This window comes from Homo sapiens, chromosome 7 (genome assembly GCF_000001405.40).
Source record: "Homo sapiens chromosome 7, GRCh38.p14 Primary Assembly".
Lineage (NCBI taxonomy): Eukaryota > Metazoa > Chordata > Mammalia > Primates > Hominidae > Homo > Homo sapiens.
This window is the reverse complement of record NC_000007.14, coordinates 5,949,307-5,969,275: the sequence shown is the minus strand read 5'-3', so window position 1 is coordinate 5,969,275 and position 19,969 is coordinate 5,949,307. Positions and strand designations below refer to the sequence as shown.

General features: G+C 48.1%; 1 protein-coding gene across 12 annotated transcripts in view; it reads left to right on the top strand.

Moving 5' to 3' along the window:
* Positions 1–19,969, top strand: part of RSPH10B (radial spoke head 10 homolog B) — a 44,716-nt gene that overhangs the window by 1,576 nt on the left and 23,171 nt on the right. For 6 of the 12 annotated variants that reach the window (XM_011515208.4, XM_011515204.3, XM_024446691.2 and 3 more), the window contains 10 exons: positions 1,839–1,958; positions 2,075–2,413; positions 3,564–3,639; positions 4,706–4,774; positions 8,412–8,585; positions 10,198–10,283; positions 11,249–11,369; positions 13,095–13,271; positions 16,042–16,201; positions 17,860–17,981. In XM_011515208.4, coding sequence (XP_011513510.1) covers positions 2,160–2,413; positions 3,564–3,639; positions 4,706–4,774; positions 8,412–8,585; positions 10,198–10,283; positions 11,249–11,369; positions 13,095–13,271; positions 16,042–16,201; positions 17,860–17,981 — 1,239 coding nt within the window. In that variant the 5' untranslated portion in view covers positions 1,839–1,958; positions 2,075–2,159. Of the gene's footprint in view, positions 1–1,838; positions 1,959–2,074; positions 2,414–3,563; positions 3,640–4,705; positions 4,775–8,411; positions 8,586–10,197; positions 10,284–11,248; positions 11,370–13,094; positions 13,272–16,041; positions 16,202–17,859; positions 17,982–19,969 lie in introns of those variants that run through there. The other 6 variants (XM_011515209.4, XM_005249659.5, NM_173565.5 and 3 more) reach the window with 4 other exon arrangements.

Here is a 19,969-nt window from a genome sequence, read left to right as displayed (position 1 = left end):
TGCCCGCAATCCTAGCACTTTGGGAGGAGAAGGTGGGAAGATTGCTTGAGGCCAGGAGTTTGAAACCAGCCTGGGCAAAATGTACAACACCCCGTCTCAAAAAAAAAAAAAAAAAAAAAAAAAAAAAAGGAAACCAGCCAGGCACGGTGGCTCACACTTGTTATCCCAGCACTTTGGGAGGCCAAGGCGGGCAGATCACGAGGTCAGGAGTTCGACACCAGCCTGGCCAACACAGTGAAACCCCATCTCTACTAAAAATACAAAAATTAGCTGAGTATGGAGGCAGGTGCCTGTAATCCCAGCTACTCGAGAGGCTGAGGCAGGAGAATCACTTGAACCTGCAGTGAGGTTGCAGTGAGCCAGTGAGCCAAGATCCTGCCACTGCATTCCAACCTGCAGGACAGGGCTAGAGAGTCTGTCTAAAAAAAAAAAAAAAAACAAACCCAAAAAACACAGAACTGGGCCGGGCACCCACACCCGGTGACTCACGCCTGTAATCCCAGCACTTTGGAGGCCAAGGCGGGCAGATCACGAGGTCAGGAGATTGAGACCATCCTGGCTAACCCGGTGAAACCCCGTCTCTACTAAAAATACAAAAAGAATTAGCCAGGTGTGGTGGTGGGCGCCTGTAGTCCTAGCTACTCAGGAGGCTGAGGCAGGAGAATGGCATGAACCCGGGAGGTGGAGCTTGCAGTGAGCCAAGATCGCACCACCGCACTCCAGCCTGGGCAAGAGAGTGAGACTCCGTCTCAAAAATAAATAAATAAATAAATAAACAAACCCATAGAACTGGTAATGGGCAATGCAGGACTCCGAATCCAGCTCTTGCACACTTTACAATGCTGACCTATAAGGAGAGGGGCTTTTGTTTTGTTTTGTTTTTTTTGAGACAGAATCTTGCTCTGTTGCCGAGGCTAGAGTGCAGTGGTGTGATCTCGGCTCACTGCAACCTCCACCTCCTGGGTTCAAGTGATTCTCCTGCCTCAGCCTCCTGAGTAGCTGGGATTACAGGCATGTGCCACCATGCCTGGCTAATTTTTTGTATTTTTAGTAGAGACGGGGTTTCACAGTGTTAGCCAGGGTGGTCTCAATCTCCTGACCTCGTGATCCACCTGCCTTGGCCTCCCAAAGTGCTGGGACTACAGGTGTGAGCCACTGCATCCGGCCAGAGAGGGGCTTTTAAAGTGTGAATTGGCTGCATGCAAGACCTGAGAGGTGAAGTAGCCTATTTCATGTGTAGGGTTACCTTTCAAGAAACAATGCTAGACAATGGTTCCAACTTAAATAATTTTTGGGGCAAGGTACAGTGGCTCACACCTATAATCCCAGCACTTTGGGAGGCTGAGACAGGCGGATTGCTTGAGCTCAGGAGTTCCAGACCAGCCGGGGCAAGATAGCAAGACCCTGTCTCTACAAAAAATTAGCCAGGTGTGGTAATGCATGCCTGTGGTCCCAGCTACTTGGGAGGCTGAGATGGAAGGATCGTCAGAGCCTAGGAGGTTGAGGCTAGAGTGAGCTGTGATTGTGCCACTGCCCTCCAGCCTGGGTGACAGAGTGAGACTCTGTCTCAAAAATTAAAAATAAAAAAATTTTAGGAACAAGCAATGCGATGTTGAGGTTGTATTTTTATAAACTGATGGTACTTGAAACTTGTAATTATAGTCATTTTTGAGACAGAGTCTTGCTCTGATACCCAGACTGGAGTGCAGTGGTGTGACACTACTCACTGCAGCCTCGACCTCCCAGGCTCAAGCAGTCCTCCCACCTGAGCCTCCCTAGTAGCTGGGACTACAGGCATGTGCCACCACGCCTGGCTAATTTATTTTTATTTTTTGTAGAGAGGTGGCATCTCACTACGTGGCCTAGGCTGATCTCCCTCTCCTGGACTCACATGATCCTCCCACCTTGGCCCTTCAACGTGCTGAGATCGCAGGTGTGAGCCACCACACCCGGCCCTGGTAACTAATTTTTCAGACTTTGTCAGGAGAATGATAATGACATTGTGTTGTAAAACTGAAATTTTAACTACAAATGAAAACCCCAAGTGTTTGGAGACGTAATTTTTATTTTTCAGATAAAACTCATCAGTGCTTTGAAACAAGCAGCTCTGAACCAAAGAAATCATTTGATTCAAGTAACCATTGGATCTTCCCAAGGCAATGGTGAAAGAAAAGAAAAAAGCAGACAAAAAAGGGGAGAAGTCTGCCCGCTCTCCCTCATCTCTCTCTGATAATCTAGACTTTTCCAAACAAGATGGCAACACCACTAGGCAAGAGATGTCCCCAGCTGGTGTCCCATTGCTGGGAATGCAGCTCAACGAAGTGAAACCCAAAAAAGACCGCCAAAACGTTCAGCAGAACGAAGATGCCACCCAATACGAAGAGTCCATTCTGACCAAACTCATAGTGGAAAGGTGATTTTAATGGGGGTGCCATCGGGTATAACACTGCCAGTCAGGCGGTTTATCTTATTTTACTTTGAGACAGAGTTTCACTCTGTCGTTCAGGCTGGAGTGCAGTGGTGTGATCTTGGCTCACTGCAACCTCCACCTCCCACATTCAAGCAATTCTCCTGCCTCAGCCTCCTGAGTAGCTGGGATTACAGGTGCCCGCCACCATGCCTGGCTAATTTTTGTACTTTTAGTAGAGACAAGGTTTCACCCTGTTGGCCAGGCTGGTCTCGAACTCCTGACCTCAGGTGAGCCACCTGCCTCAGCCTCCCAAAGTGCTGGGATTACAGGCGTAAGCCACTGTGCCTGGCCTGAAGGTAATTTTATGTATTTAAAAAAATTATTTTATTTTAGATTTAGAGGGTTACATGTGCAGGTTTGTTACATGGGCATGTTGTGTGATGCTGAGGTTTGGGCTTCTAAGTAAGCCCATCACCCAAATAGCAAACATACAGCCCCATGGCGTGTGTATATATAGAGTTTATTGTGGTGAAACATATAACAAAATGTACTATCTTAATTATTTTAAGTGTACAATTCAATGGCATTAAGTACGTTCATAGTGTTGTACGACCGTCTATTAAATAGTAACTCCTGGCCAGATGCGGTGGTTCAAGCCTGTAATCCCAGCACTTTGGGAGGCTGAGGCGGGCAGATCACTTGAGGCCAGGAGTTTGAGACCAGTCTGGCCAATATGGTGAAACTCCATCTCTACTAAAAACACAATAATTAGCTGGGCGTGGTGACATGTGCCTGTAATCCCAGCTACTCAGGAGGCTGAGGCGGGAGAATCACTTGAACCCGGGAGGCAGAGGTTGCAGTGAGCCAAGATCACGTCATTGCACTCCATCCAGCCCGGGCGACAGAGTGAGACTCCATCTCAAAAAAAATCCCCAAAAAACAAACAAAAAAACCCCGAAACGCCTTCATTCCTCACCCTACTTTCAAACCCCTGGTAACCTCTTCTACTTTCTAGCTCTGTGTATATATATATATATATATTTTTTTTTTTCTGACTTCATTCTTCCCATTACATAGTTATATAGTTTAACCCACTGTCACTTGGGTTTATTCACATTGTTCATTACCTTGAATTACCTTTATTTCTTTGTAGCTATGAAGGGGAAAAGGTTCGTGGGCTGTATGAGGGAGAAGGCTTCGCAGCCTTTCAAGGCGGTTGTACCTATCGTGTAAGTTGCCCATTTGAGAACCTGCAGGAAGGGGAGGAAGGTGTGGGGTGATGGTCGTAGATTTGTAAATCTTCAGTAAAATCCACTGATGCTTCAAAAGAAATCGGAAGCTCTTCATGCCGATTTTATTCTGAAACCTGATTACCTATTTAAGGTAAAAATAATGCTCAATATAACAAAAGTTATTTTAGATTTGTTTCTTTTCCTGATTATTTTATATTTTTTGAGACAGGGTCTCACTGTGTCACCCAAGCTGGAGTGCAGTGGCACAATCATAACTCATTGTGGCCTCGACCTCCTGGAGTCAAATGATCCTCCCTCCTCAGCCTCTTGAATAGCTGGGACTACAGGTGTGAGCTAGCACGCCTGGCTAATTTAATTTTTTTTTTTTTTTTTTTGGTAGAGACAAGGAGTTGCTACGTTGCCAGGGCTGGTCTTGAACTGCCGGGCACAAGTTATCCTCCTGCCTCAGACTCCTAAAGTGCTGGGATTGCAGGTGTGAGCCCCCGCACCCGGTTGAGAACACATTTTTGTAGCTGAGGTCATCCTTAGGTCATGAAGATGAGGACCTCTTAGATCCTTTTTAGAGAAGGATGGAGCCCAGCATGGAGGCAGCTCAGAGTAGGACTCACTAGGACTCAGCTGGTGCTGAGTGTGCAGACAAGCATCTTCACGCATGTGAAATCGGGATAAGGCAGTTGTGGGAGAGAATCATCAGCTGCAGGCCAGGCGCGGTGGCTCATGCCTATAATCCCAGCACTTTGGGAGGCCAAGGCGGGCGCATTGCTAGAGCTCAGGATTTCAAGACCAGCCTGGCCAACATGGTGAAATCCCGTCTCCACAAAAAATACAAAAATTAGCTGGGCATGGTGGTGGATGCCTGTAGTCCCAGCTACTCGGGAGGCTGAAGTGGGAGGATTGCTTGAGCCTGGGAGTTCGAGGCTGCAGTGAGCTATGATCACACCACTGCACTCCAGCCTGGGTGACAGAACCAGACCCTATCTCAAATATGTATATGTGTCAGCTGTATTCTAAGTGTTTGTCGTTGCTTTGTTTTGTTTTGAAGGGTATGTTTTCAGAAGGACTCATGCATGGACAGGGGACTTATATTTGGGCCGATGGATTAAAATATGAGGTGAGGCATATAACCAGTTATAGTTCTAAGCTGTGATTATTGGATGGAACAATCAGTTTCCCACAATTGAACAGACTGTTTTCGTAGATGTCATTCAGCATATGGGTTAAGAAAAATTTGCAGAACCAGAGGATCTAGTAACTCATGACTGCATGGGACCCGCCAGTAATTGTTATTGGTTTCATCTGTGTGTTCTAGAGGTATTCTATGTGTTCTAAGCACAGAGAGCACACGTACATGTATGTAGCTTGTCCTACTTTTTTCTTTGAGACAGGGTCTTGCTCTGTTGCCCAGGCTGGAGTATAGTGGTACGATCATAACACTGCAGCCTGGAACTTCTGTAGCCTGTCTTGCTTTTTACAAACACACATAGTTTATTATACACTCTCTTTGGCATATTTACTTAGTTAGTTAGTGAGTCTGAGATGGGGTCTTGCTCTGTCACCCAGGCTGTAGTGCAGTGGTGAGATCATGACTCACTGCAGCCTTGAACTCCTAGGCTCAAGCGATCCTGTTGGCTCAGCCTGCTGAGTAGCTGTGACTAGAGGTGTGCTCCGCAGCACGCGGCTAATTTATTTTTACTTTTTTTTTTTTTTTTTGTAGAGACAGGGTTTGCCATGTTGCCCAGGCTGGTCTCGAACTCCTAAGCTTAAGCGATCCTCCCACCTTGGCCTCCCAAAGTGCTGGGGATTACAGGCGTGAGCCACCACACCTGGCCTGTACCTTTAATTTTGAGATCAAACCATATCCATTCATGTAGATCTGTTTTTAGTGGCTGCATGTATTCCATTATGTGGCTTTTATTTAACCTGTCTTGTGGGGTTGAGGGGAATGTGTATTTTTAAGCTGATTGCAAGGACCAAATTGTTCGCCAAGAGATTGTACCAGGCTCAATTCCCACCCACAAAGTGAGTGAGCACCTGAAATGCTATTCTAAAAATCCCAAATGCAGAGTTGCTAACAGATGGTGTTTATAAATGGTAATGATGACATTTAAAACACATGCGCATAACGCACTTATTCAAATAACACACAGGCAATGATGGAAACGGAGTCAAGTTTGGGCCGGGAAGCCACCTGCAGCTGGGCGGTGAGAGGCATGCTGCAGAGGAGCGGGGAGAGGGAGGGAGGGGCTGACCGTCACTGGCGGGGCGAGGAGGATCTCCAAGTTCCAGGGGAGCCTGAGGATTGGGCCCCCACCTTGGGTTCATGCCAGCTCCCTTCCCACGCGACATCCCGCCTTCTAGCCGGTGGCTGACATGTAAGGTTTCTGGTCTTTATTTTATTTATTTTTGTGGGACAGAGTCTTGCTCTGTCACCCAGGCTGGAGTGCAGCGGGGGGATCTCGGCTCACTGCAACCTCCACCTCCTGGGTTCAAGCAATTCTCCTGCCTCAGCCTCCAGAGTAGCTGGGATTACAGGCGCCCGCCACCACGCCGGGCTACTTTTTGTATTTTTAGTAGAGACGGGCTTTCGCCATGTTGGCCAGGCTGGTCTCAAACCCCTGGCTTCAGGTGATCTGCCCACCTCAGCCTCCCGAAGTGCAGGGATTACAGGTGTGAGCCACCGCACTGGGCCAGTTTCTGGTCCTTAAGTGACAACTTACCAAGAACCGCCCTGTGCCTCGTTGTCTCGGGAAACTCCCGGCAGGGGGGGAGGTCATTTTTGCAGGCACAGACCCCCACTCCAGCCCAGTCAGGGGGGCTTCTGGGCAGGACTCGGGGGGCTCCTAGAAGCATTCTCAGAGGCCGACTGGCCTCATGGGTCCTGGCTGGTGATCAGGCCACGGCGTGCTGTCCTCTTTTCTCTGCTGCTGTGGCTGCCTCCAGGGAGTTCAGGTTCCTGGAAGAGAATCCGATGCTGCTGGGTGCTGTGCACTGTGCTGCCTGCTGCCCACTCAGGCGTCCTGGGCAGAGCGCGTTCCCTGGCAGGTGCCCCTGGGGCAGGCTGTTGGCTGATTTGTTTACAGACTATTTTGATGACCGTGGCAGAAAGAGGGATTTCCTGACCGGGCATGGTGGCTCACGCCTGTAATCCCAATACTTTGGGAGGCCAAGGTGGGCAGATCATCTGAGGTCAGGAGTTCAAGACCAGCCTGGCCAATATGGTGAAATCCTGTCTCTACTAAAACTACAAAAATTTGCGGGGCATGGTGGTGCACACCTGTGATCCCAGCTACTCGGAAAGCTGAGGCAGGAGAATTGCTTAAACCTGGGAGGCGGAGGTTGCAGTGAGCCGAGACTACACCATTACACTCCAGCCTGGGGAACAAGAGCAAAACTCCATCTTGAAAAAAAAAGGAAAAAGAAAGAGGGATGTCCCCAGTCATCACTAAGCCTTGGAGGGAACAGTGAATTCACCTCCTTCGAGCGGGTTATTTTTTTTTTCATTAGAGACAGGATCTTGCTCTGTCGCCCAGGCTGGAATGCAGTGGTCATAGTTCACTGCAGCCTCAACCTCCTGGGCTCAACAGATCCTCTCACGTCAGCACCCCCAAAGTGCTGGGATTATAGGCGTGCACCACTGCACCTTGGTGGCCAGCACCTGTAGTCCCAGCTACTTGGGAGGCCAAGGTGGGAAGATCACTTGAGGCTGGGAGTTTGAGACCAGACCAGCCTGGGCAACATAGAGAAACTCCATCTCCACAAAAAATTTAAAAAGTAGTGAGGCTTGGTGGCACACACACTTGTAGTCTCAGCTACTTGGGGGGCTGTGGTGGGAGGATCTCTTGAGCCTGGGAGGTCGAGGCTGCAGTGAGCTATGATTGTGCCGCTGCACTCCAACCTAGGTGACAGGGTGAGACCCTGTCTCAAAAAAACAAAAAAACAACAACAAAAAATCCACAAAAACTAGGCATGATGGCTCATGCCTGTTAAATGCCTGTTAATCTCAGCACTTTGGGAAGCCGAGGCAGGTGGATCACCTCAGGTCAGGAGTTCGAGACCAGCCTGGCCAACATGGCAAAACCCCGTCTCTCCTAAAAATACAAAAAAAATTAGCAGGGTGTGATGATGGGTGCCTGTAATCCCAGCTACTTGGGAGGCTGAGGCAGGAGAACTGCTTGAACCTGGGAGGCAGAGGTTGCAGTGAGCCGAGATGGCGCCATTGCACTACAGCCTGGGCGACAGAGTGAGACTCTGTCTCAAAAATAAAAACAAAAACAAATAAAATCTTTTTCTAGAGACAGGGTCTTCCTAGGTTGCCCAGACTGGCCTCAAATTCCCGGCCTCAAGCAGTCCTCCCGCCTCAGTCTCCCAAAGTGCTGTGATTACAAGTGTGAGCCACTGCACCTTGCCAAGGTGGGTTCTAAGAATCTGAAGTTCCCCAGGTCAGGATTGGAAGCCAGCACTTTCCAACGTCACCTGCTTGTTTCTTCGAACTTAGTCAACCTGCAACCTCCCAGATATTTCCTCCTGCCTGAGCTTCCGCCCACTGGTCGGGTCAGATGAGAGAGGATGCGATGAGAGCAGACAAGGAAGGAAGAGAGAGAGTGTGAGGGGGATGTTCAGTGTGTCCACAGGAGAGGCAAGAACAGAATCAGAGGTCAAGCAGCTCCTGGAACCGCCCGCAGGACTAGGGATTCCCGCCCCCACCCCCCAACACTTCCTTCTGTCACCCCATGGCCGTTCTGCTTCAGGGCGACTTTGTGAAGAATGTCCCGATGAACCACGGCGTGTACACGTGGCCGGACGGCAGCATGTATGAAGGCGAAGTGGTCAACGGCATGAGGAACGGATTCGGGATGTTCAAGTGCAGCACCCAGCCTGTGTCCTACATCGGCCACTGGTGCAATGGCAAGCGGCACGGGAAGGTGGGCGAGGTGGCCACGTGGAGGGCAGGTGGGGCAGGAGTGAAGGGGGTGGGCGGACATGGGGGGGGCAGCCATGAGGGGGCAAGGTCGGGGAGGTCGGGGGGGCAGAAAGGGGGTGGGGTGGCCATGTGGAGGGCAGGGGAGGGGCTGGGTGGCCACATGGAGGGAGAGAAGGGGGTAGGGGCTAGCGGCGCTGTCCAGGGCATATTCACTTTTTGTTTATTGAGGCGAAATTCACATCACATAAATTAACCATTTTATTAATTTTTTTTTTTTTTGAGATGGAGTCTTGCTCTGTCGCCCAGGCGGGAGTGCAATGGTGCCATCTCAGCTCACTGCAACCTCTGCCTCCCGGGTTCAAGCAAATCTCCTGCCTCAGCCTCCCAGGTTGCTGGGACTACAGGTGTGCACCACCACGCCCAGCTAATTTTTGTATTTTTAGTAGAGATGGGGTTTCGCCATGTTGGCCAGGGTGGTCTTGAACTCCTGATCCCAAGTGATCCACCCACCTCAGCCTCCCAAAGTGCTGGGATTACAGGCGTGAGCCACACTGTGCCTGGCCGTATGCATGCTTTAATAGGCTATTTATTGAGTTGTGTTGTTGTTGTTGTTGTGTGTGTGTGTGTGTGTGTGTGTGTGTGTGTGTTTTACAGCAGATTGCTTGAGACATATTGGAGGGATTGGGGGTGGTGACTTCTAGACAGCAGCATCTGCATGGCTGCAAGAAGGAATGAGTTTGCCTGATCATGAGAAAGAAGATAGAAAAATTCTCTCTCACACACACAGATAAACCTGTGAAAAAGCCTTTTGAGGCTTTTCTATGTAGATCAAACAAAGGGTACTCTATGCTCACTTATACTCGGAGGCGGTAAAATGAGTAGCATGTCCAAATGGGTAAAACAACAGTGGATCTGGTGCCTAAGAGAGAGTGACCTTCCGTTACATGGAAGGCGCAACTGTTCACTCCAGGTGGCAACAGACAGGATTTCTCTAGGTACTTAATTGACTAATAGTTACTGGATAGAATGAATATACTCGAATATGATGAATACAGTCATTCTGTGCCTTAATGTGATACTTTTTATTTTATTTTATTTTGAGATGGAGTCTTGCTCTGTTGCCCAGGCTGGAGTGCAGTGGCACGATCTGGGCTCACTGCAACCTCTGCCTCCCAGGTTCAAGCGATTATCCTGCCTCAGCCTCCCAAGTAGCTGGGATTACAGGCACGCTCCACCACTCCTAGCTAATTTTTGTGTTTTTAGTAGAGACGGGGTTTCACCGTGTTGGCCAGGCTGGTCTTGAACTCATGACCTTGTGATCCGCCCACCTCGGCCTCCCAAAGTGCTGGGATTACAGACGTGAGCCACCGTGCCTGGCCAATATGGCACTTTATTAAGGAGCAATTGATTTGTGACATTATCTCATTTCCCTTTGTGCAGCAGTTTTACCATTTTCTTGATAGCAAAACAGAAAAATAGCAGTTTACATGTCTTGCCTATGTATGACATTGACCTCTGTGTAGGTTCTACTTTTCAAGTTAATATCCTTACATTTGACAAAGCATTTGTGTCATGAGGCTTGATAGTTTTAAAGATGACATTATTTGTTTCAGGGCTCCATTTATTACAATCAAGAGGGTACGTGTTGGTACGAGGGAGACTGGGTACAAAACATCAAAAAGGGCTGGGGAATAAGATGGTAGGTATGACCACCGCCGCGCTTGGGGTGTAGATGAAGAAGGGTTTGTGGGCCCAATAGCGTTCACCTCGGATATTTAAAAGTAAGATGCAAAAGTTGCACGGAACATTTTCTCTCTAAGCAGAGTGGATTTTTTCTCTTTTCTTTGAGACGGAGTCTTGTTCTGTCACCCAGGCTGGAGTGCAGTGGTGCCATCTCAGCTCACTTCAACCTCTGCCTTCTGGGTTCAAGCAATTCTCCTGCCATGATCACACCACTGCTCTCCAGCCTTGGTGACACAGTGAGATCTCATCTCAAAAACTGGCCAAATATTCACTAATCATGATACAATAGGGAATTATTAAAAAATTTTAAAAACCCGGCTCTTACCCACTTTGTCCCCTTATTAAATAGTCAGAAGATTTAATAAAGTGACTCATTCTGCTCCCTTAGGACCATGAGCCTATCCATTGATTTTTTAAAAATTTTATTTATTTATTTTTTAGACAGTCTCGCTCTGTTGCCCAGGCTAGAGTGCAGTGGCATGATCTCGGCTCATTGCAACCTGCACCTTCTGAGTTCAAGTGATTCTCCTGCCTCAGCCTCCTGAATAGCTGGGATTACAGGTGCCTGCCACCATGTCCGGCTAATTTTTGCATTTTTTTTTTTCTTTTGAGATGGAGTTTTGCCTCCCAAGTAGCTGGGCTAATTTTGTATTTTTAGTAGAGATGGAGTTTCTCCATGTTGGTCAGGCTGGTCTCAAACTCCCAACCTCAGGTGATCCTCCAGCCTCGGCCTCCCAAAGTGCTGGGATTACAGGCGTGAGCCACCACGCCTGGCCTGAATTTAAATACAGAGAAGATTGTATAAGTACAAGGGGTGGATTTCTTCAAAGGAGCTCAAGGGGAGTGTTTAAAAGAATGTCTTAAAGGTAAATGTTGTGTAGGAGGTAACTGATTGTTTTTCTTTGGTTTCTTTCATCCTAGTTATAAATCTGGAAATATATACGAAGGCCAGTGGGAAGACAACATGCGCCACGGGGAGGGGAGGATGAGGTGGCTGACCACCAACGAAGAGTACACCGGGCGGTGGGAGAGGGGCATCCAGGTACGCCCGGGCGGGGTAGCAGCTTATACCCAGAGGCGGATGCTCCGCCGATTCTCAACACATGTATATTTCTTTTTGGGTTTTGTTTTTGTTTTTGTTTTTGTTTTGAGACAGAGTCTCTCTCTGTCTGTCTCCCAGGCTGGAGTGCACTGGCGCAATCTTGGCTCACTGCAGCCTCCACCTCCCGGGTTCAAGCAATTCTCCTGCCTCAGCCTCTGGAGTAGCTGAGATTACAGGTACCCACCACCACCACGGCCGGGCTAATTGTTTTTTTTGTATTTTTAGTAGAGACGGGGTTTCACCATGTTGGCCAGGTTGGTTTCGAACTCCGGACCTCAAGTGATCCGCGCGCCTCAGCCTCCTAAAGTGCTGCGATTACAGGCGTGAGCCACCACACCCAGCCTGTTTGTTTGTTTTTAGAGACAGAGTCTTGCTCTGTTGCCCAGGCTGGAGTGCGGTGGCAGGATCTCAGCTCACTGCAGCCTCCACCTCCTGGGTTCAAGCAATTCTCCTGCCTCAGCCTCTGGAGTAGCTGAGATTACAGGCACCCACCACCATGGCCCGGCTAATTTTTTTTTTTTTTTGTATTTTCAGTAGAGACGGGGTTTCACCATGTTGGCCAGACTGGTTTCGAACTCCTGACCTCAAGTGATCCACCTGCCTCGGCTTCCCAGAGTGCTAGGATTACAGGCGTAAGCCACAGCGCCCAGCGTGTTCGTTTGTTTTTAGAGACAGAGTCTTGCTCTGTTGCCCAGGCTGGACTGCAGTTGTGCAATCAGGGCTCTCTACCTCCTTGGCTCAAGCGATCCTCCCACCTCAGCCTCCCCTGTAGCTGAGACTACAGAGGTGCCCACTGCCACCATGCCTGGCTAACTAAAAAAATAATTTTTTTTTTTTTAGAAACGAGGTCTCACTTTATCACACAGGCTGGTCTTGAACTCTGAGGCTCAAGTGATCCTTCCATCTCTGCCTCTCAAAGCGTTGGGATTACAGGCATGAGGCACAGCACCCAGCCCAACTGGTATCTTTAAAAAATAAAAATTTAGGCTGGGCTCAGTGGCTCACACGTGTAATCCCAGCACTTTGGGAGACCACCTGAGGATTGAGGCCAGGAGTTTGAGACCAGCCTGGGTGATATGGTGAAACCCCATCTCTACTAAAAATATAAAAATTAGCCGGGAGTGGTTGCTGGTGCCTGTAGTCCTGGCTACTTGGGAGGCTGAGGTGGGAGGATCACTTGAGTCTTGGAGGTTGAGGCTGCAGTGAGCCAAGATTGTGCCATACTCTAGCCTGGGTAACAGAGTGAGACCCTTTCTCAAAAAATAAAAATATATAAAAGCAAATAAACCCCAACATTTAAAATAACAATGAAAATCTTCACGATCAAGCCAGGCACTTTATGTACACTTATCTTCACTTTTTAGTAGAGATGGAGTTTCTCCATGTTGGCCAGGCTGGTTTCAAACTGCTTTATATCTAACCTGAGGGGTAGGTGTCATTTCTGTTTTACAGACGAGGAACTTAGAGGGCTTAAGTGATCTGCCTTATTTCAAAAGACTCCTTAGTAAGTAGCTGAGCTGAAATTGAACCCAAGTCTGTGTGACTCCAGAGTCCAAGTTCTTTGCCCTTTCCAGTTTTCATTGTATTTATCCTAATTTTAAGGGGATCCGGGTAAAGAGAGAAACTGCTTTGTGCATTTCTGATGGCAGTGTGCTTTCTTTTCAGAATGGCTTTGGAACACACACATGGTTTCTAAAGAGAATCCGCAGTTCCCAGTATCCTTTGAGAAATGAATACATAGGGGAGTTTGTAAATGGATATCGTCACGGACGTGGCAAGTTTTATTATGCCAGTGGAGCCATGTATGATGGAGAATGGGTTTCCAATAAGAAACATGGCATGGTGAGTATAGACCTGGGAGGATCACATTTCAAACAATTATGTAAAGCCATTGAAATTATGTAAAGCAATTGAAATGTCCAAGGATAATTGCAGATTTGTCTATTCTGCTTTCAGATCTATCAGTTTTGATTCAAATATTTGAAGCTTTGTTAGGTGCATATACATTGAGGATTATTCTGTATTGGTGCATTGGCTCTTTTGATCATCACGTAATGTTCCTCATTAACCCTGCTACTTTTCTTTTTTTTTTTTTTTTGAGATGCAGTCTTGCTCTGTTGTCCAGGTTGGAGTACAGTGGCATGATCTCAGCTCACTACAACCTCTGCTTCCCGGGTTCAAGTGATTCTCCTGTCTCAGCCTCATGAGTAGCTGGGATTACAGGCGTCGGCTACCATGCCTGGCTAATTTTTGTATTTTTAGTAGAGACAGGGTTTCGTCATGTTGGCCAGGCTGGTCTCGAACTCCTGACCTCAGGTGATCCACCCTCCTTGGCCTCCCAGAGTGCTGGGATTACAGGCGTGAGCCACCACGCCTGGCCAACCCTGGTAATTTTCATTTCTCTGAAGTCTATTTTGTCTGATGTAAATATAGGCGCTCTAGATTTCTTTTTAATTTTAATTGTGGTAGAGTACACATGAGATTTCCCATCTTAACCATTTCTGAGTGCACAGTCCAGTGGCATTAAGCACATGCGCATTGTTGCGCAACCATCACCATCCATCTACAGAACTCTTTTTGACAAAAGGCATGTCATTCTCGATTAAATTACATTATCTGTTTTGTATAGGATGACTTACTGTTTTGCTAAGGTGATTACATGACTTTTTTTTTCTTTTTTTTGAGACAGAGTTTCGCTCTGTTGCCCAGGCTGGAGTGCAGTGGCATGATCTCGGCTCGCTGCAACCTCTGCCTCCCGGGCGCAAGTGATTCTTGTGCCTCAGCCACTAGAGTAGCTGGGATTACAGGTGTGCGCCACCACGCCCGGCTCTTTTTTTTTTTTTTTTTTTTTTTTTTTTAGTAGTTACAGGGGTTTTGCCGTGTTTGCCAAGCTGGCCTCCTGGTCTCAAGTGATCCTCCCACCCAAAGTGCTGGGATTACAGGCATGAGCCACTATGCTTGCCAAAATAGTTTCAATGGTCATTGATTTCCTATATATTTAGTGGTTATTTAATCAGTGTTTGGTGTGTGTGTACGTGTGTGTGTGTGTATGAGGATGGTTTTGGTTTGCAAGTAACAGAGAATCTAGTGTCGTCTGCCATGTGAAATACAGAATAATGGTTTGATTCAGCAACTCAGAGCTGTCAGGATTTCTCCTCCATCTATCCACGATATCTCCCACCATGTCACTTTCACCCTTGTGTTTTTTCCTCCCTCATGATTGCAAGACAGCTGCTGTGGTTCCAGCCTTCACATCCACATACCATGCTAACTAGAAGAAAAGGAGGAACTTTTTACAGAAGCTCTCTAAAAAGGTCTTTCATTTCACAGAGCCAAATTGGGTCATTTGCCCACTTCTGAATCAGTAACTGACTATTGGCCTGGGTTTGACAAATCTCAGGGAGTCTTGGCCAGGCTTAGTGGCTCAGGCCTGTAATCCCAGCACTTTGGAAGGCCGAGGTGGGCAGAACACTTGAGGTCAGGAATTCGAGACCAGCTTGGCCAACATGATGAAACCCCGTCTCTACTAAAAATACAAAAATTAGCTGGGTGTGGTGGTGCACGCATGTAATCCCAGCCACTCGGGAGGCTGAGGAAGGAGAATTGCTTGAACCCAGGAGGCGGAGGTTGCAGTGAGTTAAGACTGTGCTACTGCACTCCAGCCTGAGTGACAGCGAGGCTCCACCTCAAAAAAAAAAAAAAATTGTGGGGCACGATGGCTCACGCCTGTAATCCCAACACTTTTGGAGGCTGAGGCGGATGGATCACGAGGTCAGGAGATCGAGACCATCCTGGCTAACATGGTGAAACCCTGTCTCTACTAAAAATACAAAAAATTAGCTGTGTGTGGTGGCGGGCGCCTGTAGTCCCAGCTACTCAGGAGGCTGAGGCAGGAGAATGGTGTGAACCCAGGAGGCAGAACTTGCGGTGAGCCGAGATCGTGCCACTGCACTCCAGCCTGGGCACAGAGCGAGACTCCGTCTCAAAAAAAAAATCAGGGAGTCTGTATTGTGTGATGGGCGTTCTGCTGGTCACTAGCGTAGTTTAATAAGACACATTCTGTGGCCATAGGTGCTTAAAGTTGGAGAAAGATTGTCGGGGAGAGAGAGAGGGGAGGGGGAGGAATAGGAAAAGGAGGACGAGAGAGAGGACTTATACAGTGCATGAGACCCAGGAGCCTGATTATGTGTAGAGTAAGTGCATATTTTCAAAACGAAAAGCTCCACACCCTTGAAAAAACTATTGATGTACATTTACCCATGTTTTTCTTTCCTTTTTTTTTTTTTTTGAGATGGAGTCTCGCTCTGTCACCTAGGCTGGAGTGCAGTGGCACGATCTTGGCTCACTGCAACCTCTGCCTCCCAGGTTCAAGCGATTCTCCTGCCTCAGCCTCCCGAGTAACTGGGATTACATGTGCCTGCCACCAGGCCCGGCTAATTTTTGTATTTTTAGTAGCGATGGGGTTTCACCATGTTGGCCAGTCTGATCTCGAACTCCTGACCTTGTGATCTGCCCGCCTCAGCCTTCCAGAGTGCTGGGATTACAGGCATGAGTCACCGCCCCCAGCCTTACCAGTGTTTTTCTAAGAAATCTTTTCCTAAACTGTAAAAAGTTTTTCTGTCTGCAGGGCCGATTAACTTTCAAGAACGGGCGTGTGTACGAAGGCGCATTCTCCAATGACCACATAGCTGGGTTTCCGGATCTTGAAGTTGAATTCATCAGCTGCCTGGACCTGTCTTCAGGAGTTGCCCCAAGACTGTCCAGGAGCGCCGGTAGGAAGCATTCACCTGTTGAAATAAAATTCATTGGCCGGGCGTGGTGGCTCATGCCTGTAATCCCAGCGCTTTGGGAGGCCGAGGCCGGCGGATCACGAGGTCAGCAGTGCGAGACCAGCCTGGCCAACATGGTGAAACCCCGTCTCAATTAAAAATAAAAAAAAATTAGCCAGGCGTGGTGGCAGGCGCCTGTAATCGCAGCTACTCAGGAGGCTGAGGCAGGAGAATCGCTTGAACCCGGGAGGCAGAGATTGCAGTGAGCCCAGACTGCACCATTGCACTCCAGCCTGGGCAACAGAGAAAGACTCCGTCTGGTAAATAAATAAAATGGAAAAAAAAAAAGAAATAAAATTCATCTGTTTTTATCCATGGTGTTCACTCATGAAAATACACCGAACACTTCAGGAAACAGAAGTCCTCTGTGAGCAACTCCTTTTTTAAAAAAAAATTTTAGACAAAATCTCGCTCTATCACCCAGGATGGAGCAGGATACGATCACTGTTCACTGTGGCCTCAAACTCCTGGGCTCCAGTGATCCTCCCACCTCAGCCTTCCCCATAGCTGGGAATACAGGCACACACCACCAAGCCTAGCTAATTTTTTTTTTCTTTTTGAGACGGAGTCTCACTCTGTCGCCCAGCCTGGAGTGCAGCAGTGTAATCTTGGCTCACTGCAATCTCCGCCTCCCGGGTTCAAGAGATTCTGCTGCCTCAGCCTCCTGAGTAGCTGGGATTATAGGCGTGTGCCACCATGCTTAGCTAATTTTTGTATTTTTTGTAGAGACGGGGTTTTACCATGTTGCTCAGGTTGGTCTCTAACTCCTGACCTCGTGATCCACCCACCTTGGCCTCCCAAAGTGCTGGGATTACAGGTGTGAGCCAGCACACCTGGCCAGGCTTAGCTAATTTTTAAACTTTTTGTAGAGGCAGGGTCTCACTATGTTGCCCAGGCTGATTCAAACTCCTGTCCTCACACAATCCTCCTGCCTCGGCCTCCCAAAGTGCTGAGATTACAGCTGCAAGCCATTGTGCCTAGCTGGCAACTGCTTTTAAAAAATGTTTTTTTTAGAGACAGGATCTCACTCTGTTGCCCAGGTTGGAGTGCAGTGGCGTGATCATAGCTCACTGCAGCCTTAACCTCTCATTTTGGCTTCCCAAAGTGCTGGGATTAAAGGCATGAGCCACTGTGCCCAGCCTGTGTTCTTAGTAGGTTTTTGGAATATTCTTGTATCCCATTTTGGTGGAAAATCTTTGTGACATAATACTGAGAAATTTGAACATTGCTTTTCATAATTATCTCCAAGGATGGGTGTGGTGGCCCATGCCTGTGATCCCAGCACTTTGGGAGGCCAAGGCAGGCGGATCAGTTGAGCTCAGGAGTTCGAGACCAGCCTGGGCAACATGGTGAAACCCTGTGTCTACAAAAAAATACAAAAATTAGCTGGCCGTTGTGGTGTACTTCTGTAGTCCCAGCTACTCGGGAGGGTGAGGTGGGAGGATGGCTTGAGCCTGGGAGGCAGAGGTTGCAGTGAACTGAGATCATGCCACTGCACTCCAGCTTGGGCGACAGAGTGAGGCCCTGTCTCAAAAAAAAAAAAAAAACAAACCCCACCAAACAAACCGTACTTATCCCCTGTGTTTGCCTTCATTCATTAGAACTGATCAGAAAGCTTGATGGCAGTGAAAGTCATTCTGTGTTGGGATCGAGCATTGAGCTGGATCTAAATTTGCTCCTGGACATGTACCCTGAGACAGTCCAACCTGAAGAAAAGAAGCAGGTAAAATCTTTTTGATTGGTATGAGTTGCATCCTGGGAAAATATAGCTGGTGACTGCTGTCACGTGTTGAATGTCTTCTTTTTTGTTTTGTTTTTTGAGACCGAGTTTTGCTCTGTCGCCCAGGCTGGAGTGCTGTGGCGCAGTCTTGGCTCACTGCAACCTCTGCCTCCCGGGTTCAAGCCTCCCCCACCTCAGCCTCCCCAGTAGCTGGGATTACAGGTGTGGGCCACTACGCCCGGCTATTTTTTTGTATTTTAGTTGAGACGGGGTTTCACCATATTGGCCTGGCTGGTCTGGAACTCCTGACCTCAGGTGATTGGCCCACCTCGGCCTCCCAAAATACTGGGATTATGGGTGTGAGCCACCACACCCGGCCTAGAACAATGCTTTAGATTGTATGTGTTTATTCAGTTGAATTGCGTTTTCAAAAGCAGGAATGAATGCTCAGCGTAACAAATGCCTGAAGCCGCCCAGGTAGGGCTCTGTCTCCCTTAGGACCCTGCATCCTGTTCTTCGCATTCTCTGAATGTCTCATTATGAGGGTAGGGCATGGGGTGAGTGGTTCTGGAGAACAGGACGCTGTGTAGAGGGCAGGGCTGCATGTGTGGGGAATCTGGGGCAGCTTAAGGGCGTCAAGGTCTGGGGAAAAATCCTAAAAGGTGAAGTGTGACAGAGGGAGGTGAGTAAAGCAACCACCGTGAATATTGCTCCTTTTTTTTTTTTTTGAGACGGAGTCCCTTTTGTCGCCCGGGCTGGAGTGCAATGGCACGATCTCAGCTCACTGCAACCTCCGCCTCCCGCGTTCAAGGGATTCTCCTGCCTCAGCCTCCTGAGTAGCTGGGATTACAGGCATGCACCACCACCCCCAGCTATATTTTGTATTTTTAGTAGAGATGGAGTTTCACTGTGTTGCCCAGGCTGGTCTCGAACTCCTGACCTCAGGTGATCCTTCCACCTCAGCCTCCCAAAGTGCTGGGATTACAGGCGTGAGCCACTGCACCTGGCGGAATATTGCTTCTTTCAGACTTTCAGCCCTATGTGTGGTGTGAGTTGCATGTGTTTTGTACATGCTGTTTATCAGGTTGAGGGATTCCTTTCTATTCCTAATTTGCTGAGGGTGCTTTTCATGAATGGATGTGAAATTCTGTGAAACGCTTCAGTTGTTAGAATCATTTGGTTCTTCCTCAGTCTGTGAATTACATTGATTGATTTTTCAAATGTTAACCCAGCTTTGCAATTCTAGGAGAAACCCTACTTGGTGCTGCTATATTATCTTTTTTTTTGTTTTTTTTTTTTTCTTGTTGAGATAGGGTCTTAGGGTCTTGCTCCGTCACCTTGGCTGGAGTGAAGTGGTGCGATCTCAGCTCACTGAAGTCTTGACCTTCTGGGCTTAAGCAATCCTCCCGCCTCAGCTTCCTGAGTAGCTGGGACTATACGGGCACTTGCTACTGTGTCTGGTTCTTTTTTTCTTTTTTTGAGAGGGAGTCTTGCTCTGTCGCCCAGGCTGGAGTGCAGTAGCACGATCTCTGCTCACTGCAAGCTCCACCTCCCGGGTTCACGCCATTCTCCTGCCTCAGCCTCCCGAGTAGCTGGGTCTACACCACGCCCGGCTAATTTTTTGTATTTTTAGTAGAGACAGGGTTTCACCGTGTTAGCCAGGATGGTCTCGATCTCCTGATCTTGTGATCCGCCTGCCTTGATCTCCTGAAGTGCTGGGATTACAGGCTTGAGCCACCACGCCCGGCCAGTTAATTTCTTTAATTTTTAATTTTCAGTTGAGACACAGTCTTACTATGTTGCACAGGCTGGTCTCGAGTTCCCAGGCTCAAGCGATCCTCCCGCCTCGGCCTCACAAAGTGCTGGGATGACAGGCATGAGCCACCATGCATGGCTACTATTCTTTTTATATATTGCTGGATTCAACTTATTTTGTTGAGGATTTTTGCACATTTGTTGATGAAGGATAAGGATCTGCAGACAATAGAATT